The sequence below is a fragment of the Homo sapiens genome, chromosome 4 (assembly GCF_000001405.40).
Source record: "Homo sapiens chromosome 4, GRCh38.p14 Primary Assembly".
In the NCBI taxonomy this organism is placed as follows: domain Eukaryota; kingdom Metazoa; phylum Chordata; class Mammalia; order Primates; family Hominidae; genus Homo; species Homo sapiens.
This window is the reverse complement of record NC_000004.12, coordinates 6,147,407-6,171,475: the sequence shown is the minus strand read 5'-3', so window position 1 is coordinate 6,171,475 and position 24,069 is coordinate 6,147,407. Positions and strand designations below refer to the sequence as shown.

The window sequence follows — 24,069 nt, the reverse complement described above, 5'->3', positions numbered from 1 at the left end:
GGTGATAGTGATAATGGTGGTGGTGATGGTGATGGTGGTGAGAGTGGTGGTAGTGGTGATGATGGTGGTGGTTGGTGATAATGGTGATGGTGGTGATGGTGGTAAGGAGGGTGGTAGTGGAGGTGAGGAGGGTGCTGGGGCTGGTGGTGGTGATGGAGATGTTGATGGTGTTGATGTTAATGGTGGTGGTGATGACATTGATGAGGACAGTGGTAGGTGTGATGGTGATGGTGGTATGGCAGTGGGAATGGTGGTGGTGGTGATGATGGTGATGGTGGTGATGATGGTGATGGTGGTGGTAATGGTGATGGAGATGGTGGTGGTGATGATGGTGGTGCTGGTGATGGAGATGATGATGTGGTGGTGATGATGGTGGTAGTAGTGAGAAGGGTAATGGGGGTGGTGGTGATGGTGGTCAGCATGGTGATGGTGGTGAGGGTGGTGATGGTGGTGATTATGGTGATGGCAGTGGTGGTAAGGGTGGCAATGGTGGTGGTGTCAGTGATGGTGGGTTATGGTGATGGGGATGCTGGTGGTGGTGGTGATGGTAAGAAAGGTGGTGGCGGTGATGGTGATGGTGGTGGTGGAGGTGATGGAGGTGATTGTGATGGTGGTCATGGTGATGGGGATGGTGGTGGTGGTGTGGTGGTTCTGGGATGGTGGTGATAGTGATGGAAGTGTAGTGGTGGTGGTGAGGGTGGGATGGTGATGGGGATGTGGTGGTGATTGTGGTGGCAAGGGTGGTGATGGGGATGGGGATGGTGGTGGTGATGGTGTTAAGGAGGGTGACAGTGGAGGTGAGAAGGGTGGTGGGATTGGTGGTGGTAATGGTAGAGGTGATGGTGTTGATGTTAACGGTGGTGGTGATGACACTGTTGAGGACAATGGTGGGTGTAATGGTGGCAATGGTGGTGGTGGTGATGGTGATGGAGGTGGTGGTGGTGGTGATAATGGTGGTGATGGTGGTGGTGATAGAAGGGTGCTGGGGGTGGTTGTGAGGGTGGTAATGGTGGTGGTGGTGATGGTGATGGAGGTGGTGGTGACTATGGTGATGGTCGTGGTGGTGGCGGTAGTGATAGAGGTAGTGGTGGTGGTGATGGTGGTGATAGAGGTGGTGGTGGTGGTGGTGAGAAGGGTGGGGAGAGTGGTGGTGATGGTGGAGAGGGTTATGATGGTGTTGACAGTGATGGTGGTGGTGATGGTGGTGGTGGTGGTGAGAAGGGTGGGGGGAGTGGTGGTGATGGTGGAGAGCATTATGATGGTCTTGACAATGATGGTGGTAGTGATGGTGATGGAGGTGGTGAGAAGGGTGGTGGTGGTGGTGTTGGTGATGGAAGTGGTGGTGGTGGTGATGGTGATGATGTTGGTAATGATGGGGATCGTGGCGGTGGTGGTGGAGTGGTAATGATGGTGATGAGAGTGGTGATGGTGGTGGTGGTGGTGATGGGAATGTGGTGGTGGTGAGGGTGGTGGTGGTGGTGGTGGTGGTGGTGGTAGTGGTGGTGGTGGTGGTGATGAGAGTGATGGTAGTGGTAGTATCGGTGGTGGTAGAAAAACTTAAAGATTACAGAGTGCATTGTAGGCACTCTTGTGAGCACTTTACCTATATTAATCTGATGTCTACTCATAACAACATGGGGTTGTTGTACCTATGAGGTAGGTACCACCACTAGCCCCATGTTCCAGGTGGGGCATCTGAGGCACAAGGCCACATGGTTAGTACATACTAGAGTTGGGATTCAAACCCTGGTAGACTGGCTTCAGGACCTGCACTAAGCTGGGGTTACCCTAGGTGTGATTCTTAGATCAGCAGTTTCGTCATCTGAAAATAATTCACACACACACACACACACACACACACACACACACACAATTTCCTAGGGCTGGTGTAACAAATTTCCACAATCTGGGTGGCATAAAACAAATGCATTCTCTCACAGTTCTAGAGGCCAGAAGTCTGAGATGAAGGTGTGGGCAGGGCCATGCTCTCTCTGAAAGCTCTAGTGGAGGATCGTTCTTCACTTCTCCCAACCCCTAGTGGTGGCGGCTGTCCTTGGCTCCTTGGTTTGTGGCTGTGTCACTCCAGGCTCTGCCTCCATCGTCATGTGGACTCCTCCTGCTGCGTCTGTCTGAGTATCTTTTATAAGGACCCCAGCTGTACTGAATAAAGGGCCCACCCTAGTCCATCATGGCCTCCTCCTAACTCATGACACCTGCAGGAACCCTACTTACAAATATGGCCACAAGCTGAGATTGTGGGAAGGACATGCATGAGATTGGGGGAAGCACTATTCAACCCAATACATGAACATTTTTAAAACAATAGCGTTACTGAGATATAATTCATGTACTATAAAATCTGGCCTTTTAAAGTGTACAATTAAGCTATTCTTAATATATTCACAGTGTTATGCAACCATCATCACTATCTAATTGCAGAGCATTAAAATCTCCCCAGAAAGAAATCCAATGCCTATTAACAGTCCCCACCACCAACTCTTCCTTTCACGTGACCCCTGACAACCACTACATCTACTTCTTGTCCCTATGATTTTTTTTTTTGTTTTTATTTTTTGAGACAGGCTCTCACTCTGTCACCTAGGCTGGAGTGCAGTGGTGTGATTACAGCTCACTGCAACCTCAGCCTCCCCAGGCTCAAGTGATTCTCCCACATCAGCCTCCCAAGTAGCTGGGACCACAGGGGCATGCCACCAGGCCTGGCTAATTTTTGTGTTTTGTTTTTTTTTTGTAGAGACATGGATTTGCCATCCTGTCCAAGCTGGTCTTGGACTCTTGGACTCAAAAAATCTGCCCGCCTCGCCCTCCCAAAGTGCTGGGATTACAGGTGTGAGCCACCGTGCCTGGCCATCCCTATGGATTTCCCTATTCTAGACATTTAATCTAAATGGAATATTCAATCTGTGGTATTTTGTGACTGGCTTTCTTCATTTAGTGGAATGTTTTCCAGGTTCATTCATGTCGTAGCAGGTGTTGAGACTTCATTCCTTCTGATGGCCAAATACTATTCTGCTCTATGGAATATCATAGACCACATTTTGTTTATCCATCTGTAACTGATGCACATTTGGGTTGTGTTCACATGTTGGGTGTTAGGAATCGTGCTGCCATGAATGTTTGTGTACATGTTTTTGTGTGCACATATGTTTTCCCATCTTTCAGTTACATATTTAGGAGTAGAACTGCGAGGTCACAGGGTGATTCTGCGTTTCACATTTTAAGGAACCACCAGACTGTTTTCCAAAGTGGCTGCATCATTTCATGACCCCACCAGCAATGCATAAAGGGTCCAGTTCCCCACATGCTCACCCACACTTGTTGTTGTGCGCTTTTTTGATTGCAGCCGTCCTGGGTGGTGTGTGGTGCCGTCTCACTGCGGTTTTGATTGGTATTACCCTGAGGGCTGATGACGTTGAGCGTCTCTTCAGGTGCTCCTTGGCCATTTGTGTGTCTTCCCTGTTGAACACCGGGTGATGTGGAGGATGGGCGGACTCCTCATTGTCTGCATGCTGTCAGCTCTGGGAGACAAAGTCTCACTGGTGCAGCGATCTGGCGCAGTCAGCCTGACTGGTCCTAGCCAGCTCTGATTTCTGGCATGCTCTAAACCGAAGCATTCAGTGCACTCAGATGTCTTTTAATTTTCAAGTTGAGATGCTCACAAGTGAAATTTAAGACAGCCATAGAGCCGTGGAAAAGCCGCGTGCCCTTGGGCAGTTCACATCTGTAAAGTGAGGATAGCAGTACATTCATGGTGGGGTGGAGGGAGCTGACACGTGTCACTCTAAGCTCAGTGCCCGGCCCATGGAAGTCTGTGGTTAGGGCTGGTGGTTGTCAGAAACGGCTATGTAGTTTTTGGGGCTCCTTGTTAAAAAATGGTTAAGAATTTCAAGATGGCATCAGAAGAGCACTAAGCATGGGCCCTTCAAAGCTCAGGGCCCTTTGCAGTGGCCCAGGTTGCACAGCTGTGACACCATCCCTCTCTGTGTCCTTAACCACTATTAGAGGCAGATTTGCCTTGTGGGAAGGTGGCTGTCCCAGGGTGGAGGAGGAGAAGTTGAGGGTAGGGTGGTGAGTGAGGAGGTGGCTGGAGTGGTCCAGGCCAGAGCAGAGGAGGCTGGAGGGAGACAAGGGCCACTGTCAGGGGGAGGAGGAGCCACATGAAAGATGAAGTCCCAGCTCTGATGGGACATGGGGACTGCTTGGATGCAAGAGGGAGGGAGGGAGTGCTCCAAGTGGACTCACAGGCCCTGGGTCTGGATGAGTGGCCAGAACATCGTGCTCTTTGCGGAGGCAGGGCCCTGGAAGGAGGAGCAGGTCTAGGGGAAGACGATGGATTTCAAGAATTTTAATAATACCAGCAGCCCACCCTGAGTACCCCCTACGCACCAGGCACTGTTCCAAGTACTTGATGTGGGGTAGCACATACAGTATTTGAGAGACCCTAGGAGGTAGGGGTCATTATAACCCCTATTCTGAATGACGATCAGAGGCAGGTTTGCTTTGTGGAAGGGTGGCTGTCCCAGGGTGGAGGAGGGGAAGTTGGGGGTGAAGAGGTGAGTGGGGAGGTGGCTATATGGAATATCACAGAGGCACAGAGAGGGTAAGAAACTTGCCCAAGACCACAGAGCTGGTGAGGTGAGCCTGGAACCTGTGCTTTAGCCTTTAGGCCCTGTGGCCATTTGAGCGAAAGTGCGCAGCACCCCTGCAGCTGCCACAGACCTCACCTGTCGTTTTCCCATCTGTAGATGGTGCTGCTCGTTCTACCTTTGGCTACACCATGATAGAGAAGATTCACATAAAATGCCGCATATGCTGCCTGACATAGTAGATAATGAATGACACACCTGTTGTTCTCATTATTATTCAGAGTTATGCATGGAGATTTCAGCGCGGCTGCAGGAGGTCCTCCTACCCCTATGGCCTCAGGTAGAGAGCCCTGGCCGCCTGGGCCTGCACACATCCTGGCTCCTGTGTCCCTGGCCACAGTTATTGCTTGGGTGGGACAGGGAAGGGGCATCTTCACTTCAGGTAGCTTATTGACCTTCCTCCTCCGGCCATTGCCTTTCCAGGAAGTGGCCTGGGCCACTCCCGACCTGGGCCAGTCTTGCCTGGGGAGGGGAGCCCAGGGGCCCTTCAGGCAGGCTCCTGGCCGGGTTTATCTAAGGTGGCTGAGGCTTTCAGGAAGCTGGACATGATACTGGATTTAGAACCCAGGGTTCAGATAGGTTGGCTTTTACATGTCGTATCTGTCATGGGCTGGAGACCCCCAGAAGCTAAGCCCACATGCTTCTTGGAACCTGTGAATATACCTTATGTGGCAGAAGATGTGATAGAGAACTTTCAGAGGAGGAGCTCATCCTGAGTTTTCTGAGTGGGACCAGGATCCTTCTAAGAGTGAGGCACAGGGAGACTGGACAGGTACCCAGGAGGTGACGTGAAAGTGGAGTGGAGGGCAGAGTGATGCGTCCGCGAACCCAGAAATGCCGGCAGCCCTCAGGAGCTGGGGGAGGTGAGAGTGGACTCTGCTAGAGCCTTGGGGTGGAGTGAGGAGGTGCTGACCCTTTCATTTTGGCCCAGTGATAAGGAATTTTGACTTCTGGCCTCCAGAACTGCGAGAGAATACAAATCTGTTGTTTTAAGCCACCAAGTTTGTGGTACAGGCTGACCTTAGAGATATTGTAAGTTCTGTTCCAGACCACTCAATAAAGCAAATATTGCAATAAAGCGAGTCACATGAATTTTTTGATTTCCCAGTGCCTGTAAAAGTTATGTTTACACTCTGTTGTAGTCTCTTAAGTGTACAATAGCATTATGTCTAAAACAACAATGTACATACCTTAATTTAAAAATACTTTAGGGCTGGGCGCGATGGCTCATGCCTGTAATCCCAGCACTTTGGGAGGCTGAAGTGGCAAGTCACTTGAGGTCAGGAGTTCAAGAGCTTGACCAACATAGTGAAACCCTGTCTCTACTAAAAATACAAAAATTAGCCAGGTGTGGTGGTGTGCACCTACCGCTTGGTAGCAGCTAGCTGGTAGTCCCAGCTACTTGGGAGGCTGAGGCAGAATTGCTTGAACCCGGGAGGTGGAGGCTGCAGTGAGCTGAGATTGTGCCACTGCACTCCAGCCTGGGCTACAGAGCCTCTGTCTCAAAACAAAACAAAATAAAACAAAACAACTTTAGCTATTTAGCTAAATAATGCTGATGACTATCTGAGCTTTCAACATAATCTTTTTGCTGGTGGAGGGTCTTGCCTTGATGTTAATGGCTGTTGACTGATCAGAGTGGTGGTTGCTGAAGGTTGGGGTGGCTGTGGCTATTTCTCAAAATAAGACAATGAAGTTTGTCCTGTCGATGGACTCTTTCACCAAAGATTTCTCTGTAGCACACAATACTTGGCAGCATTTTGCCCACAGTAGAACTTCTTTCAAAATTGGAGTCAATCCTCTCAGGCCTTGCCACTGCCTTATCAGCTAAGTTTAGATCATACTTTAAATTCTTTGCTGTCATTTTAACAGTGTTCACAGCATCTTTACCAGGAGTAGATTCCATTTCAAGAAAGCACTTCATGTACTCCGTAAGAAGCAACTCCTCATCGGTTCAAGTTTGATCATGAGATTGCAGCAGTTCACTCACATCTTCGGAATCCACTTCTCATTCTAATTCTCTTGCTTTTCTCACCACTTATGCGATTACTTCCACTGAAGTTCTGACCTCGAAGTCATCCATAGGGGTTAGAATCAACTTCTTCCAAACTCTTGTTAGTGTTAATATTTTGACCTCTTCTCATGAATCATGAATGTTCTTAATGCATCTAGAATGATGAATCTTTTCCAGGAGGTTTTCAATGTACTTTGCTCAGATACATCAGAGGAATCACTATCTACAGCAGCCATAGGCTCACAAAATATATTTCTTAAATAATACTACTTAAACATCAAAATTATTTCTTGATCCATGGGCTGCAGAATGGATGGTGTGTTAGCAGGCATGACAACAACATCAATCTCCTCTACATCTCCATCAGAGCTCTTGTCAATGAGCCATAACATTGTAAAAGTAATCTTTTTTTTCCGAGCAGTAGGTCTCAACAGTGGGTTTAAAATATTCAGTGAACCATGCTACAGACAGATGTGCTGTCATCCCAACTTTGCTGTTGCATTTTTAGAGCACAGGGCCCTAGGATCTCCTAATGGGAAATGAGCATTGGCTTCAACTTTGGCACGTCATCAGCTCTATTAGCCCCTAGCAAGAGAGTCAGCCTGTCCTCTGAAGCTTTGAAGCTAGGCATCGACTTCTCCTTTTTAACTCAGAAAGTCCTAGATGGCATCTTCTTCCAATATAAGGTTGTTTCATCTGCATGGAAAATCTGTTGTTCAGTGTAGCCACCTTCATGAATGATGTTAGCTGGATCTTCTGGGTAACTTGCCGCAGCTTCTCCATCAGCACTTGATGCTTCACTTTGCACTTTTATGTTATGGAGATGGCTTCTTTCCTTAAACCTCCTGAGCCAACCTCTGCTAGTTTCAGACTTTTATTCTGCAGCTTCTCCACATCTCTTAGCCTTCAGGAGAGTTAGGGCCTTGCTCTGAATTAGGCTTTGGCTTAAGGGAGTGTTGTAACTGGTTTGATCTTCTACCCTGACCACTCCAATTTTCTCCATATCAGCAATAGGGCTATTTCACTTTCTTATTATTTGTGTGTTCACCAGAGTAGCACTTTGAATTTCCTTCAAGAACTTTCCCTGTGCATTCACAACTTGGCTAACTGGTGCAAGAGGCCTAGCTTTCACCTTATCTCAGCTTTCCACCTGCCTTCCTCATGAAGCTTCATTGTGTCTAGCTTTTGATTTAAAGTGAGAGACATGCAACTCATACTTGAACACTTAGAGGCTATTGTAGGGTTATTAATTGGCCTAATTTCAGCATTGTTGTGTCTCAGGGAATGGGGAGGCCTGAGGCCATGGGGAGTGATGGGAGAATGGCTGGTCAGTGGAGTGGTCAGCATATACCCAGGATTTATCCATTAACTTCTCTGTATTATATAGGCATGGTTCATGATGTCCCTAGTTACAATAGTAATATTAAAGATCACTGGTCACAGATCACCATGATGGAAAATGGAAATGTTTGAAATATTGCAAGAATTACCAAAATGTGGCACAGAGACACGAGGTGGGCTGTTGGAAAAATGACACGGATAGACTTGCTCATCACAGGGTTGCCACAACCCTTCAATTTGTCAAAAACGTAATATCTGCGAAGCACGATAAAGTTGAGTGCAATAAAACAAGGTATGTCTGTGACTTATCACAGCAGCCACAGGAAACTAACACAGCCTCCATCATGGGAGCCTCAGGGTCTGAACTCTGCAGAACCCTGGGCTGGCAGCTCTCATGGGTACAGCTGTTTTCTTCTGTTGAGAGTCATGTCAAACCCTGAAGCTGGATTTGATTAGCAGACAACAGAACCAGATGTTCCCAGCATCTTCCCGTGTCTGATGCTGTGGCCTCACATGGTCATGATGAGGCTTTGCCTGGAAGCCTTGCTGCTCGCAGGCTAGTACAGATGTGCTTTCTTTGGTGATGGGAGGGAGTGGCAGTGAGTGGCTTTGGATTCAAGAGAGTCCTTGATGGTTAGGGACCCAGGCTTTGGAATGGGGAACACTTGGGTCCCACACCTGGCTCCTGGCTGGGTGACCTTGGGCAAGTCACTTAACCTTTCTGAGCCAGTTTTATTACCTGTAAAGTGGGAACGATGATAATGATGGTAATGCTGTGCCCTTAACAGGTTGTCGTGACAGTTAAGGAGCTAACAGATGGGCAGTGCCACACTGAGCTTGGCAGGTTGAACGAGATGGTGCCTTTGCCCTGTTGACATGACTGCCTTGTGCAAGTTAACCTGCTAATCAGAACACTAATACTGCATTCTCTTTTTGGAATGAAACATGTGTAACCTCATCTGGATTGTGTAGAAGGGACCAAGGGCCCTGGCTCCATCTGCCCCTGTCACTTGGCTCATGTGGCCTCTGGAGGTGACTTCCCCAGGACCCTCACCAGCAAAGACCAGGGTTGGGCTAAAATGGGTGCCGAGAGTTTCCCAGGCTCTGGCTGCCTTAGCTGCACAGATGCAAGCTCGGCTGCAGTGCAGTGTCCTGGTGAGTCTCTCCTCTGCTGGCCCTGTCACCACCTAGGTAGGCCTTCCAGCAGCTGAGAGGTCCCATTCCTCATAAGACCAGTGGTCTGCAGTCGCTCCCACTGCCCTCTAGTGGGACGAGGTCCAAGCTCACAGCCCCTTGGTGACCTTCCCTGAGGCCCTGCTGACCTCTTGGCCCCCCGTCTGGCCCATAATCTACCCCGTCCCAGACATGGCTGAGCCTGAGCTCATGGCTGGCCTGTGCAATCCACCCCTTTCCTTCCTGCTCGGCTCCATCAAGGAGGCACCATGTACCCGTGGTGTGAGGCAGACACCGTGGGGAACTTTGATCCCACCTATTCCTTGAACCCATGTTCAGTACATCACCACGTCCTCCCAGGTGTCCCAGCAAGAAAGCTTTCAAACATATCTTGTTTTTCATCACCTCTGCACCATAAGCCCAGCCCAAACTTGCACCATTTATCTCTGGGACACAGTGACAACCTCCTGGGTTCTACCTCATCTAATCCGGCCCTCCAGTTCCTCCTCCACACAGCATCCAGCATCCAGAGTGGACCTTTTCAAACCCCAGGACCAATGAGGACACAGTCCTGCTCAGAGCACCCGGTGGCTCTGGTCACCCTTGGACAGCAAGGTGGACTTCCTGAGTCCAAGGCTCGGAGACCCAGACCCTCTGTGGGTTCCTTGCCTTCCTTCTCCTTGCTTGTACACCAGCTCTCTCCATCTGGAATGTTCTATTTTTTTTTTTTCCACTGAGTTTGCCTTCTTTCTTCTTTGGAGCTCAGCTCAGCATAACTTCTTGGTCAGAGTCTTTGGGGACCTCCCCGTTCAGGCGGGTGTGGCTCTCCCACCTTCCCATTGGGCCAGCTTCCTTTCCTTTAGCACACCTGCCAGCTATGCCAAAGCCCACGGGGCAGCCAGATAGGTCGGACCACAAAAAGTGGGCTCAGTCTTGCAATGTGGAGGCTAGGGGAGGTGAGTGGAGGCCATAGAAGTCAGTGGAGGTCAGGGAGCTGAGTGGAGGTCAGGGGAAGTGAGTGGAGGTGAGTGGAGGTCAGGGGAGGTGAGTGGAGGTCAGGGAGATGAGTGGAGATCGGGGAGATGAGTGGAGATCAGGGGAGGTGAGTGGAGATCAGGGGAGGTGAGTGGAGATCAGGGGAGGTGAGTGGAGATCAGGGGAGATGAGTGGAGATCAGAGGAGGTGAGTGGAGCTCGGAGGAGGTGAGTGGAGATCAGAGGAGGTGAGTGGAGGTTGGGGAGGTGAGTGGAGGTCAGGGAGGTGAGTGGAGGTGAGGGCAGATGAATGGAGGTCAGGGAGGTGAGTGGAGGTCAGGGAGGTGAGTGGAGGTCAGGGGAGATAAGTGGAGATCGGGGAGGTGAGTGGAGATCGGGGAGGTTAGTGGAGGTCAGGGTAGGCGAGTGGAGGTCGGGGAGGTCAGTGGAGGTCAGTTGGTCAGGGGAGGTGAGTGGAGGTCAGTGAGTCAGTGGAGGTGAGTGGAGGTGCGGGAGCTGAAGCCCCCGCGCAGGAAAGCGAAGAGGCAGTGCAGACTTCAGACGACGGGTGGAGACCATCTGGAAGGACTGTAGAGGGGCAGGGAGGCGTGGAGGCTGGCCTGTTGGGGACACAGGAAGAGATGTTTTGTTTGAATGGGGATGAGCAAGCGTGTTGAGAGTCTGATGATGAGGGGTCCTGGAGGGAGGGATGCTTCAGGAGCCAGGATAAAGGAGGGTTTGGGAAAAGGTGGGAATGGGAAGGGGTCTAGGGCCAGGGAGCAGGGCATGCAGCATGCGGGAGGGAAGCGAGGGCTCGAGGGTGATCCCGTCTGCCTTGCACTTCAGTTTTCTTCTGTGTCCTTAATAAAGAAATCACATTTTCTTCTCTTTCCTGAACATTCTGTGTAATTTATTGCTAGCTCCTTTTAATTTGGTTATAAATGGGATCGTCTTCCAGTTTTATCCACTAATTGGTTGTTGCTGGTATAGAGGAAAGAACATTATGCTTTTTGGCACTTTCCTTCACCCAGCAATTTGGGAGGACTCTAAAAATCCCATCAGTTACATCTCATACCTGACATTTTGACTTTCACCTGCTGGGTGCCCTTGATGTTTTTCTCTCTGACCTAATTTCTTCTCTGTTTTCTTGGCCTGAACTTACCCTCTCCTGTTTCCTCAGTTCTTTTTTACTTTCCCTGTCCTCGTTAGGAGCATTCCACCTTCTCTTTCTAAGAACTCTCTTTTCTTCAAACAGCCTGATTCCCTTACTCCCAAAAGGAAATCACCTTCTTGCTTTAATCCTGATCATTAGGGTTGTGACGTCCGTGAGTGTCTGATGTGGGCTTTTCTCCATGAAAAATGGGATCATGTTGTTTGTGACCCACTTTCCCTACAGCAGGTATGATGAACATCTCTGAGGCCCCCATGGTTTGGATATACTATGATTTATTTAACCAGTCTCTTGCCAGGCCCATCTTTGTGGATTATTTCCTTAGGATAGATTTTCAGAGTGAAGCTATTAGCGAAAGCAGTCCACATTGAATAGAAATTGCCCAGCGGCACCCTAGAAAACATGTGCCAGTTTGTACCCAAGAGTGAATGAGAATAGCACTTTCCCAGAACCTTGCCAACAGCAAATCTTTAACATTTTTGCCAATGTGATGAGTGAAAATTTGTATCCTGGTTCTTGTTTCTTTAGTTACCAGGCAGGCTGAACATCTTGTCTGTGTATTGGCCATTTGCGTTTCTTCTTTTGAGAATTGTTTCTCCATTATTTACACTATTTTTTTTTTCCACTTGCATGCTGCTTAAAGCAATTTTGACTTCTGAAACCTCTTAATCTATTAAGAATATTAACCTGGGATTTGTTATGTGTCACAGATTTTTTTCTTCCAACTTGTGGTTTGATGTTTTTGCTCTATGATGATGCTTTTGCTGTACAGAGATTTAAAATTTTTGCCTTTTGTAGATGCTTACACCTTTTCTCTCCTCCTCCAGAGTCTTTAAGTATTTTTTTTTTAGCAGATTTGTGGTTTCTCTGTTTGTATTTAAATTTGTAATCCACATGAGAAAGTTGTTTTGCTGTGAGGCTGTAGGTGGCTATCCAGTTTTATTCGTTCCTAAATAGCTAGTCTTTTGTCCAGAGTTAATCCAGTGTTTATTGGTCAGCTGTTATTTTTTCACCATTATGTGTGGTTTTTTATTAATTTTTTTTTTTTTTGAGACAGGATCTTGCTCTGTCACCCAAGCTTGAGTGCAGTGGCACCATCATGGCTGAATGCAGCCTAGACCTCCAGGGCTCAAGCTATCTTCCTACCTCAGCCTCTTGAATAGCTGGGACTATAGGTGCATGCCACTATGCCCCGCTAATTTTTGTATTTTTTGTAGAGATGGGGTTTCACCATGTTGGTCAGGCTGGTCTCGAACTCCTGAGGTCAAGCGATCCTCCTGCTTCAAACTCCCAAAGTGATGAGATTACAGGTGTGAGTCACCACGCCCGGCCCAGTATGTGTTTTAAATTCCTGTGTACATCCTTGGATCTGTTTTTGGGCTTTCTCTTCTGCCTCATTGATCAATCGAATTGCCCTATTTTTATCCAATAAATTTTCAAACCAAATTTTCTTTCCTAACCTAAAAAGATGGACTTCCTTTGTGGAAATGATGACTACTAGCTGGGGCTGGTGGGGGTGGGGGGTGGAGAAATGGCCCTATGGGATGGAGTTGACCACTCCCGCAGGCCCTCTGGAATACCTCATCCTTTCTTTCCAGTGAATCATGTTCCACCTGTGACTTCAAACCCAAGCCCCAGCCCTTTATTTTACTCCAAAATTTGCTCTCCATCTCATCCAGCCAGGCCTGTGCTGTGGGTGGCCAGGTGAACATCGCAGGGGTCCTGCCTCTGGAAGCCTTCCTGGAGCCACGTTCACCTGTGGCCATCACTGAGATTCCTACATGGATACAGACTGGGAGGCAGACACCACCCCATCCCACTACCATCCCTATGATGTTAGGTTCTGGGCTTTCAAGTGCTTCATAGCTGAGCTTGTGACCCCTGGTGAGAAGCATGTAGTATCCGCAGGGCAAAGTTGGGATGTATGGAGCGTGCACTGCATGACCTACAGCATGGTCTGCCCTCCACACTGTGAGGCGATCCGTTCTCCCCATCCTTGCGTTCCAGGTCAGGAGAGGAGGTAGAGAGAGCAGGAGTAACTTGACCAGCGTCTCACACAGGGAGAGGGACGGCGCTGGCCGACAGCTTGAGCCCTACCTCATAGCACATAGCCCTGGAAATGTGGCCCAGATAACTCTTCTGAAGTTGTAGAAGCTGTGTTCTTTGGGAGAATGAAGTGATCCATAGAAAGAAAGCTGTTGCATCAGGAGTTAGTGCTGCTGATGCAAAGCAAGACACCCTTGGTTCTAACAGAGCCCAAGGAAAGGAAATAGACAACAATCTGTTAGCTGTGTTGGCATCTAATTTAAGTTTTTTCATCAGAATTCTCGACTCTACGGTCCCTCACTCACACCCTACTGGGTGTGCTGCTTCATGGCTGGTGTTTACGGAGAGGCATATCTAACCTGCTCAGTGAATGTGAAACCACAGACAACTGGCACCAGTTTAAACAGGAGAAAGCAGGGGTTAGGTAGCATGTCCAGGGCTACGCTGGGGAAGATGGCTGAGCTGGGATTCTGGTGGGATTGTAGCTCGGAGATCCCGGTTCTGAGTTGTGATGGTCTGTGCCAGTGGCTTATGAAAAAGTTAGGAAAATGATGGATTCTTAGTCAAAAAAGGTGTTACGGAAAGTGTACGCTGAAGTTTGATTTGAAAATTTGAAGATTCTTATATCTATAATTTGTAGCTTCCTAAATATCACAAATTACCTGAATTACCATAGAAATTGCTGCTTTTCAGAGAGCTTTCAATTTAATCTCATTTGGTTCTTGGGACAACCCTGTGTTGTGCGCCAGCTTCCCATCCCGTGCGCCTTTTTGCAGAGGGAGTAACCTGCCCAGGTGCACTCGTCTTAGTCCATTTTGTGTTGCTATAACACAATATCACCACCTGGGTAGTTTATAAAGAAAATAAATGCGTTTCTTACAGTTCTGGAGGCTGGGAAGTCCATGGTGGAGGGACCTGCATCTGGCAAGGGCCTTCTTGCCACATCTCATGGCAGAAGGCAGCAGGGCAAGAGAGTTCCAGAGAGAGAGCTGAGAAGGGGGCTGAACTCAGCTTTTTATCAGGAATCCACTCCGGCAATAATGGCATTAATCCATTCATGAGGTTAGAGCCCTCATGACCCAATCACCCCTTAAAGGTCCCCCCTCTTTACACTGGTGCATTGGGGATTAACAGTGAACTTTGAGGGACGCATTCAAACCACTAGCCATGGAACTTGTTATAGAAAATTCAGGGCTGTGGCTGTTGGCCAATGGGGTGTGGGTCTACTGAACAATTGTAACGTGACCAACACCTATCATGGGCAGACCATGTCCATGTGCCAGGTGTGGCCATGAGATTCCCAAGACCAGACATCTGGGGACAGTGGAGCTGGGATGTAACCAAGGTCTAGCCCAGAACTGACCTTTCTTGTACATCCTACAGCCTTCAATGAAGGAGATATTTTAGCTCCCACATCTCAGCGGATGCTGTCAGACATTTCCTGGGTGAAGACAGATGAAAGCCTTCCACATGCATCAGATCTTTGAGTTGCATCTCAGTAGCTAAGCCCTGGGTCACCAGGATGACTGGGGGCTGAAGCCGAACGCTCAGAACAGATGGCTCTGGATTTATTTCTGCAAATTATAAGAAAGGAAATGCACAACAATCTGTTAGCTGTGTTGGCAGCTAATTTAAACTTTTAAATCAGAATTCTGGACTCTGTTAGGTACCGTATTTTATTAAATCTAAGCTGCTGTCAATTGGGACATGCATCATTATTTTTGTACCACTAAAGAAATGGGAAAAAGTGCTATTCATTAAATGATGATGGGGCATTGAATGTGAGATGAATCTTGATTTCAGAAACGTTAACTTAGGATCAGTGTGATACAGTGGCATTCGCTTGTTCCTGTGTTGGCGGGCCACTTCCGAGGGCTGGCTTTGCGCGTGGCTGGCTGGCTCTGTGCCGGGCGTGGTACGGTGAGAAGATGTTCCCGGTCTCTGCTCCCAAGAAACACACAGATGGGTCAGGTATTTAGAAATGCCAACAGATTATTTCAGAATAGTTTGTTGATGGATGGGTTTTCTGGATCACCAAATATTTCTTGAAGATCCATTATTGTGCTGGGCACTGTTCTACGCACTGAGGAACCCACCACGGACAGAAGTCACAGAGCTGACCCTTTCCGTGGCAGTAGATATTCATCCCCAGCAGCGGTTCTCACACATTACCGCACAGAAAAATGTATGTGCAAACTTAAGATTGCCAGGCCCCACCTCTAGAGAGTGCCATTCATGAGGTCTAGGGCAGGACCCAGGAAGGCTGCATGTTAGCAAGCACACTTGGGAATCAGGATACACAGGCCTTCAGAGCAAAATTTGAGATGATAGAGCTTCAGCTTAAAGGACACTATAATATCCCGTTCTATAAATGTGCCATGGGACATACAGTTGTTGGTGAATATTTAGCAAATATTTAGTTGGCTGCTTATTTTCCTTGTTGTAAACAGCACATCCGTGCATGTCCCTGCAGCTGAATATGCGCGTAAATCCTCCGTGAGTTCTTTAGGGGAAATCAGGTAGCAGCGCTGGGCGTTTAGAAGTTTTCAGAGCCAGTTAGGAGTTTGCTGTCATTTTTCCAACCACCATAACCCACCCTGGAACCAAACTGTCTGGATTTGAGTCCCGCTTAGTAGCTGTGCACTTTTGGACAAGTGTTTTAGCCTTTCCATACTTTTTAAATCTCTAGAATACCTATGTTTTAGGGTTCTCTTGAGGGTTAAATATAAAGTGCTTGGAGCAGAGCTGACGCAGGATAAGGGCTGGGTAAACATTCGCGGTGGTGGTGGTTGAGTGGTGGTTGCTGGTATTAAAAGGCGTTGAGCGCAGAGGAGGGAATGTTGTTTCCTCCTTAGGAGGAGCATTCGTCCTCCTCGTGGGCACACCAGGGTCACTGCGGAGGGAAGCTCCAGCCAGGCATTCATGTGTAGGCCTTTTGATAGCGGAGAGTCAACTGCATTGTCACAGATCCAATTTCAGCACACCCCAACACTGTCACCAGAAGTATCTTCCCAGCAGGCTGGGCTGGCATCTCCCGACTGTCTTCCCACTGCTCGGGAATGAGCTTTAAATTCCTTTATCCACAGGACAAGGAAGGAAGCCTCTGAGGCTCAGGCTCCACCCCAGCTAAGACCCCCCACCCTACCCCGCACCTTTCCCTGCGTGCTCTGTGTTGGTTTGTGGAGTGAGAGGGTCTCAGGGGGCTTCCTGTGGGAGGCGATGGATGAATAGGCCTTCGAGGAATGAATAGGAGCTTCCCAAGTGGAGGAGGAAGGAAGGACTGTCCACTGGATACAAAGGCAGAACAGGATGTTTAGGGTGCTGTCTGTAGTTCATGATGGCTGGGGGTGGGGAGTTAGGAGTGGGCTGGGTAGTAAGTAAACTGAAAGAGGGGTTCAGCGGGCCGGATTGAAAAGAATTCCATTTGCCAGGGCTGCAGAGTTGGGCACAGTCCCTGCGTGCAGTGGGCTGTGCGTGTTGGGCTCTTGGAAGCCTTGCTAAGTTTCTTGGTGTCTGCCTTTTCGGTATTGCCTTTTTCAAGGCTGAAATGCATCCTCTTCCTTTTATATCCCCCCTGCTTTTTTTTTTTTTTAAAGGACTATAGACATCTGACAAATTCCTTGTCCAATCACTCAGGGAACTAAAGGCTTCTGTTCGGTTTTTAGCTTGTTGTGAAATGGGGACTTGGAAGGGGACCACTCTCTTCACGCTCTTTGTGGTAAATCCTTTCTGGGCATGCAGATTTAACATCCTAGGGGGTTTTCCTTGCAATGGTTTTGATGTGAAAATGACCGAATTATTAAAGTAGTTCAATGGCCTAAAATAGGAGCAACTCTCCCCAGTGCAGCCTCTCTGCACGTCCAGTGATTTGCTTGTTTCTTCAGCCTCCGCCTGTGTCCAGCTCCGCTCTGTCTTCCCTCCTGCGAGGGTCAGTGTCTCCCTGAGTGCAGGGTTTATCAGCTCTGCAGGACACAAGCCTGTGCCTTCTCACCATAGGCAGCAGGATGCAGTCAGCCAGGCATGGTCTGGGGGCTGCAGAGATGGCCTTGAACTCTCACTCTGGTTCAGCAGCCAGTATTTAGTAAACATCTGCCGCATACAAGACCTGGGCAGACTCTGTGACAAGTAAGAGGCAGGATCCAGACTTTCCCAGCCAAAAGGGGCCTCAGGGAGCGGGTAGCTGGTTCCGCATTTCTCAGTGAGAGTGCTCACCAGTGTTGCGATGTGAGATTTTAGGTGACAGTAGCCAAACATAATTTATTTTAATAATACTTTAGTGTGCATTAGGGAAAATATAACTGTATCTTATAGTTATAAAATATAGCACCTGAAGCCTATGATTTGGGGGATATTTTTGCTTAGAATAAGGCTGAAGTAGTGTACAGGTTTTTCAAAAGTCAGTAGTGTTAAAGAAAAGTACTAAGCACATAAAGGTAAGGTGCCGAGGGGCACACGGGAACATGATGGCCTTCCACAAAACGTTCTCTCTCCAGATTGTCAGGGCTGTCTGAGGTGCACCCTCTTACAGCGCAAATTACACCTCCGGAAAGCTAATTTTAAGAAAAGAAGAACCATGCATTTTATGCAGAAGTCACAGCGGCGGCAACTGATGACTGAGGTTTGGGAAACACCGTTGGCTCCAGTGCTCATTTTTCAAAACATGAAATTGAAGCCTAGAGAGGGCCAGGGTCACAAGGCTGTGGAGAGAAGAAGGGGCTTCAAATCCCAGGGCTCCTGATGCTCAGCGTGGCTCCTCTTCTCACCCAGATCTGCCTGTGACCAAGGCCTGTGTGAAGGAGGCCAGGCTCGGGGAAGACCCCTGGAGCTGAGGCTGAGAGGCAGGGACGTTGGGGCCTCTGAGTAGGAATCAGGGTGCTGTCGAATGGTGAGCAGGTGTTGGCCTCTGGTGAGCTGGATGCCAGGAGAGTCTGGTAGAGCTTGATTTTGAAGCCTTGGCTGGCAAGTGTGAATCTGCCTGTGTAGTCTTCAGGCAGGTAGGGGAGGGGGATGTGCATGGGTGGGGCTGGTCACAGAAAAACAGACTGAGCTCAGGTTAACAGGAAGGTGATGTGGGTTTCCTAGAATTGGGGCTAAGGGATGCCCACTTCTTTTTGTTTTTTTGAGACGGAGTCTCACTCTTGTTGCCCAGGGTGAAGTGCAATGGCGTGATCTTGGCTCACTGCAACCTCCGCCTCCTGGGTTCAAGTGATTCTCCTGCCTCAGCCTCCTGAGTACCTGGCACTATAGGAGCCCACCACCATGCCCAGCTATATATATATATGTATATATATATATATATATATTTGTATTTTTAGTAGAGACAGAGTTTCGCCATGTTGGCCAGGCTGGTCTCGAACTCCTGACCTCAGGTGATCCAACCACCTCAGCCTCCCAAAGTGCTGGGATTACAGGCATGAGGCACCACACTCGGCCAGGATGCCCACTTCTGTGAGAATATTGCAAAGATCTGCTGCAAGAGTGAAGTGTTGAGTATTGGGATCAAAGAACTAGTGTTTAAATATAGGGGTTAAAGGGTCACATAAATATTCCCCGGCATCAGGATCAGAGGTCGGGTTTTCTCTTAGAGACTGCCTGCCTTTTATTCGTGCGGACACAAACTCTTCCAATGCCAGGCCTTATCTCTGATCATAGGATGCAGAGCAGCAGGCAGCTCCCCAGCCAGTTGGTGGTGGGGCTGGGTGAGGGCGGTTCTAGGAGCTGGGGCTACAGGCTTAGGTAATGCAGCCTCCACCAAAGAGGAAGAAAGGAAGGCTTGGATGAGTGAGTGAGGACTCTTGATCAGAGTCCCAGTGGGAGGTCATGGCCTCAAGTGGAAGAAATTTCACCTTTTTACTCCCATTTAGAGCAGCGTTTGCTGGTTAGATAGTTTTATTCCGAGTTGATTTGACTTCCTCCCTCCCTGCTCTCTCTCACTCTCTCTCTGTCTCCTCTTTTCCCACCCTCCCTCTCTTCCTTCCTCTCTCCCTTCTTCCTTCCCCTGTCTCTTTCTTCTTCCCTCCCTTCCTTCCTCCTTCGCCTGCTTCCTTTCTCCTTTCCAACCCTGAGACCTTTATTAAGTGGTAACAGTGTATCAGGCATAGTGGCGAGCCCCGTAGTGGTTACCAAGTAAAAGTCATCATAACAACAGCAGCTAATGTTCAGGGAAGGTCAATGTCATGTACCTGGCACTGTGCTCACTGCTTTTACTTATATTGTCTTGTTTAATTCTCATAACAACACTATGAGTTTGGTATGGTTATTGGATAATCTCATTTTACAGGTAAAGAAACAGATCTAGACAAGTGGAAGGACTCACTGGCCTAAGGTCTCACTCCATACCCTTAGCCACTTTGCCGTCCAGCTTCAATGGCTATTGAGATCCACCTTCAACTCTAAGTTTCAAAGAACTTGAACAGCAGACAGGAGAACAGGTGGTTCCAGCCAGGAGGACTGGAGGACTCTGAGCTTAAATGCGGCTGTGAAGGTCACAGTGCTGTGAGTGCAACTAGGTGGGGCATGGGAAGCTCTAGGAAGACTTAGGGGAGGTGACATTGAGGCTAGAGTTGGCCAGGTCTGGGGTGGTGAGAATGGTGGGTAAGCAAGCAGAGGGCCTTCTGGGCAGAGAGAACAGCTTGGGCAGAGGCATGGAGGCACCTCAGAGAGGGCGCTGAGCATTTGGGGATTTGGAGGCAGTATTTTGTGGTGCAGTGAGGAAGAACATGGGAGTCTGATCTCATCTTTCATCTTGGCCCTGCTATTGCTGGGCTTGAGATCTTGAGAAAGTTGCAGACACTTCTTAAGCCTTAGTTTTTCCGTAGGGAAAGTGGGAATAATTACAGAAGTAACTTCATAGGGTTGTGGAGAGGATTAAATGAGGTCCTGTATGGAACATAGACATGGTGGCCATTGTTTTCATTTTTGGCATGTAGGGTGCTATGGCCGTGTCACAGTTGGGAGGGCAGCAGGAGACAAGCTCAGGAGCTTGAATGCCAGACCAGAGTACTTGGGCCACAGCCTGGAGACAGTGGGAGACTGGGGAAGGTATGGCGGGGGCGCTGCACAAGGTCACATAGAAGCCAAAGCTTGGGGAGAAAGAGCTGCCATCCCCAGCAGCCTTCACCAGGTGTTTTGCTTTTGGTGGATGACAGGGACCCACTGGTGGGGTTGTAAATGTGTGTCACCTGGGCACACTCAACGCTGACTGCTTCAGGTGTTGCACTGGGTGTCTTCCGGTGGCAGACATTATTACTGTCTTGCTCAAGTGGAGGAGCTTGAAGCTGGGATGCGGAAATTTCTTGCCTGTTTTCTTCTTCCCGCCATGGTCTAGGAAGCTGATTTTAGAGGCCTGCCTTTTAACGTGCTTTTAAAAGATTTTTCTTCCTACCTGTAGCATCAGGGCAGTTTTCTGGGGCCCAGATGGAGTCTGTTGGGTTTTGAAGAGGAAGCCAGACAGACGCTGATGCAGGTGCTGCCGGCCCCGTGGTCTGTTCATGAAGGTCAGGAGTCCGTTGAGCGCCGTGGGAGCTGCCTCCGAGGCAGGGATTAAGAAGCGGGTGTCTATTCCTGGATGCGGAAACCACTCAGTTCAGCAAACAGGGCTGTGTACCTGCTGTGTCAGGCCCCGGACAGGGCCCTGGGGACGTAGAGGTGGATGAACCGTGGACACTGTCCTTGAGAAGCCCGCTGCACAGTAAGGCTTTTAGTTAGAAGCTGACACCGGGGGCCAACCTCAGCCCCTGGTCTCCGCAGTCTGCTTGCTTTCTCTGAGGTGTTTCTCCTTCTCTGTACTGGGAGGTTGGGTGGGAGGGAAGCTGGCACCTCCTTCAAAGAATTATGAAGATTACTGAGCTAATATACATAAGCCCAAAGCATGGGGCCTGTGCCAGCACTTTCTTCTCTCTCTCTCTCTCTCTGATGGAGGAGAATGTTCTGTGCTGTGGGGAAGTAGCCGAAGGGGGCACTACCTGTATCATTCACTTTCTTCCCCAGAGCTTGGCATATGGCAGGCGCTCCACAAACTTGTAGGCGTGTTTCTTGGAAGAATGAGTGTGTAATTGACCTTGGAGGATGTGAGATTTAGGCAAGGGGAGATTTGGAATTGGCGGGTGACGTTCCTGGTAAGCAGGGGCAGTGGAAGGTGCAGAGCAGAGGCAGGAGGAGAAGCCCAGCTGGAGGGTGGGCCATGGGTGGGGAGAGCTGGGAGTTGGAAGGGAGAGGTCACTGGGGCAGCCTTCTAGGATCTTGACCATCAGCCTGATGCAGTTGCTGAGATGCTTTCGAGCCTGGGCGAGAAGCGTTAGGCCTCATCTTCCCCAGCCCGGTAGCAAAGGAGGGCTGCTCTGTGCTGGTGGGGGGTCAAGAGGTGCAGGGCCCTGGCCAGATCAGAAGAAAAAAACCCTGCAGGGAGAAAGGGAACTTGATATACTTTGGACTTTATGAGCCAATATAAATATTGAATGTTAAATTAGGAACTTTTTGCCCTATTTCTTTAATCTTCAGAAGAGAGATGAAATGGACATCCTTTCTATCTTGACCACGTGTGTAGCAAACTGGGATTTCGAGTGCGAGTTGGTTTCAGGTCCCAAATTCAGTATTTCTTACTCGCTGGTCTCGGACCACATCCCTAGATTTCACTGGGACTCCACTTTCTCACCTGGATCTGGTGAGGTTTCTCCTACGACAGATGGCGAGGGTCAGCTGTGGGTGGCCTGGGTGGGCCTGGGCCAAGCAGTTCTTCTCCGCTTGTCTCTTCCTCCTGGGAGAAAGCCCTTAGTGTTGGCCTGTGGGGAGAGTAAACACTTATTGTGTCTTCTCTTCTGAAACTCTCACATTTTTTATTTGATTAGCGTGATTTTACTTTTATTAAAATCACTCATTTTAATTTAATTGTATGTAGTTAAAAAGCTTACTTATTTTAAAAAGACCCGACAAAGCATTCAGCTCAGTCCTGCCCAGCTGTCCAGCCCCAGTGGCCCTTCTCTAAGGCTGTGGCCGAAGTCAGTGCAAACCCGGCCACTGTTTCCTGGGGGTGTGTTCTTGCGGGTTACACGGCCTCTTGGAATTCAACTCCCGCCACCCCCCTGCAAACCTAAAGCATCCGTGGCACCACCTTGGCACCTGGGCCAGAAACTCAGATGTCTTTCTTGACTCCTCCCCGTCTCACCACACCCAGTCCCCATGCCCTGGCTAGAAAATACTCCTCCTTTTTTCTACATGCCTGTGCGTGGATGTCCATCTGTCCATTTATAAATAAAACGGGGGCTTCTTCTAGGCCAGGCCTGAGGATGCTGTGGTCATGCTGGCAGACGAGGTCCTGGCTGCCTGGGCCTTGCAGCCTCGGGTGTGATGGGTGTGCGGGTGGGAGTTGGAGGCACAGTGATAAACAAGTAACAATAAACAAGAACGCAGGGCTGCCGTTTATTGGGGCTCCTGCAGGCTCAGCCTGCATCCTCCCTTCTTCCTCTGCTCCTGTTTCCCACAAGGGGAGCGCACCAGGAAATGCTGGTGAATGGAACTGGGTGAAAAAGTGAAAGAAATTGGCTCCTGCCACCTTGAAAAGGAGGATGCGCCCGGCGCAGAGTCCGTGCCCACACAAAGCATTCCGATTCCAAGTGGTGTCCTGTGTATCTCGAAGGACTGTGGGGAACAGTAATGAGTATATGTGTTTCCTGGAGCCCTGAGGCTGAGGCTTGAAGTCCTCATTTGCTTAGGAAGAAAGGAATGCAAAATGGTGACTCTTCTGCGCTAGGAAAATGTTCTGGGCATGAGCCAGCCTTCAAGACTGTAGGTAAATTGCCTCCTGGGGCATCTCACCAGGAAATGCAGTTGCCCTGCTCTTGGTCTGAAACAGACGCACCACAGCCATCATATCAGTCCACTCCAGCTGCTATTCAACTTGGGGGTACACGAGAGTCCAGTTAGCAGGTATGTGTTACCCAACCCAGGACATCTTCAGAAAGCTGCTTAGCAGTGGAGATCAGGCCTAATTTTCACTTCTGCACTCGCTATTCTCTGAGCACCTGCTTAGTACCTGTGGTTGGTCCTAGGAGCACAAAGATGACTAAGACACGGTCCTTGCTCCTAAGGAATGAAAATTCAGAGAATGTGAGCTCAAGGCTGATAGGGATTTCTGTCTGTTTTGTGTTCCCAGTGCTGAGAACAGCATCCTCCATACAGAGGGGAGGCTCAATGAATATTTGTTGAATGAATGAACAATTGGATGGGAACAAGTCTGATGCCAGCCCTGTGAGGCCAGGGTGGCCATGTCAGAGGGAAGCACAAGAGCTTGGGTGCCCTGCAGCAGGTGATGGGAGAGACTTGTGAGCTGAGGAGAGAGTGTGCAGACCCAGGCCGGGCCCTCTGGGCAGAGGCAGGTGCGGAGACAGAACCCACACCTAGGTGGCCTGAGAGTTGGTGTGGACCCGGTGGGGGAGAGTGAGTGTTCAGAGGCCGTGGATGCAGATGGTTAGGGCTTTGTTTGCCTGGCCAGCAGGCTTGAGCTGGATCCTGAGCCTGGGGGACCGTTTGGAGCCATCTAGTCATAGGAGTGACACAATGGGAGGCTCTTGAGGACCACATGGAAGACATTTGGGCCAGCAGAGCCTGGGAGACAGACGAGGCTGTCAGTCAGAGCCCAGCCTGGCCTCAGCTATTAATTCACCAGGCCATTGCCCAGACATTCTCCCA

General features: G+C 49.3%; 1 protein-coding gene across 4 annotated transcripts in view, besides 1 other annotated feature; it reads left to right on the top strand.

Annotated features, from left to right (window-relative positions):
• Positions 1-24,069, top strand: part of JAKMIP1 (janus kinase and microtubule interacting protein 1) — a 174,351-nt gene that overhangs the window by 29,074 nt on the left and 121,208 nt on the right. The gene's annotated exons all lie outside the window — the stretch shown is intronic.
• Positions 18,068-18,237: an enhancer, noted in NCBI's record as "active region_21250". NCBI's record gives its function as "activates an Ori minimal core promoter by ATAC-STARR-seq in GM12878 lymphoblastoid cells {active_cell/tissue: GM12878}" and the evidence as "EXISTENCE:reporter gene assay evidence [ECO:0000049][PMID:35858748]".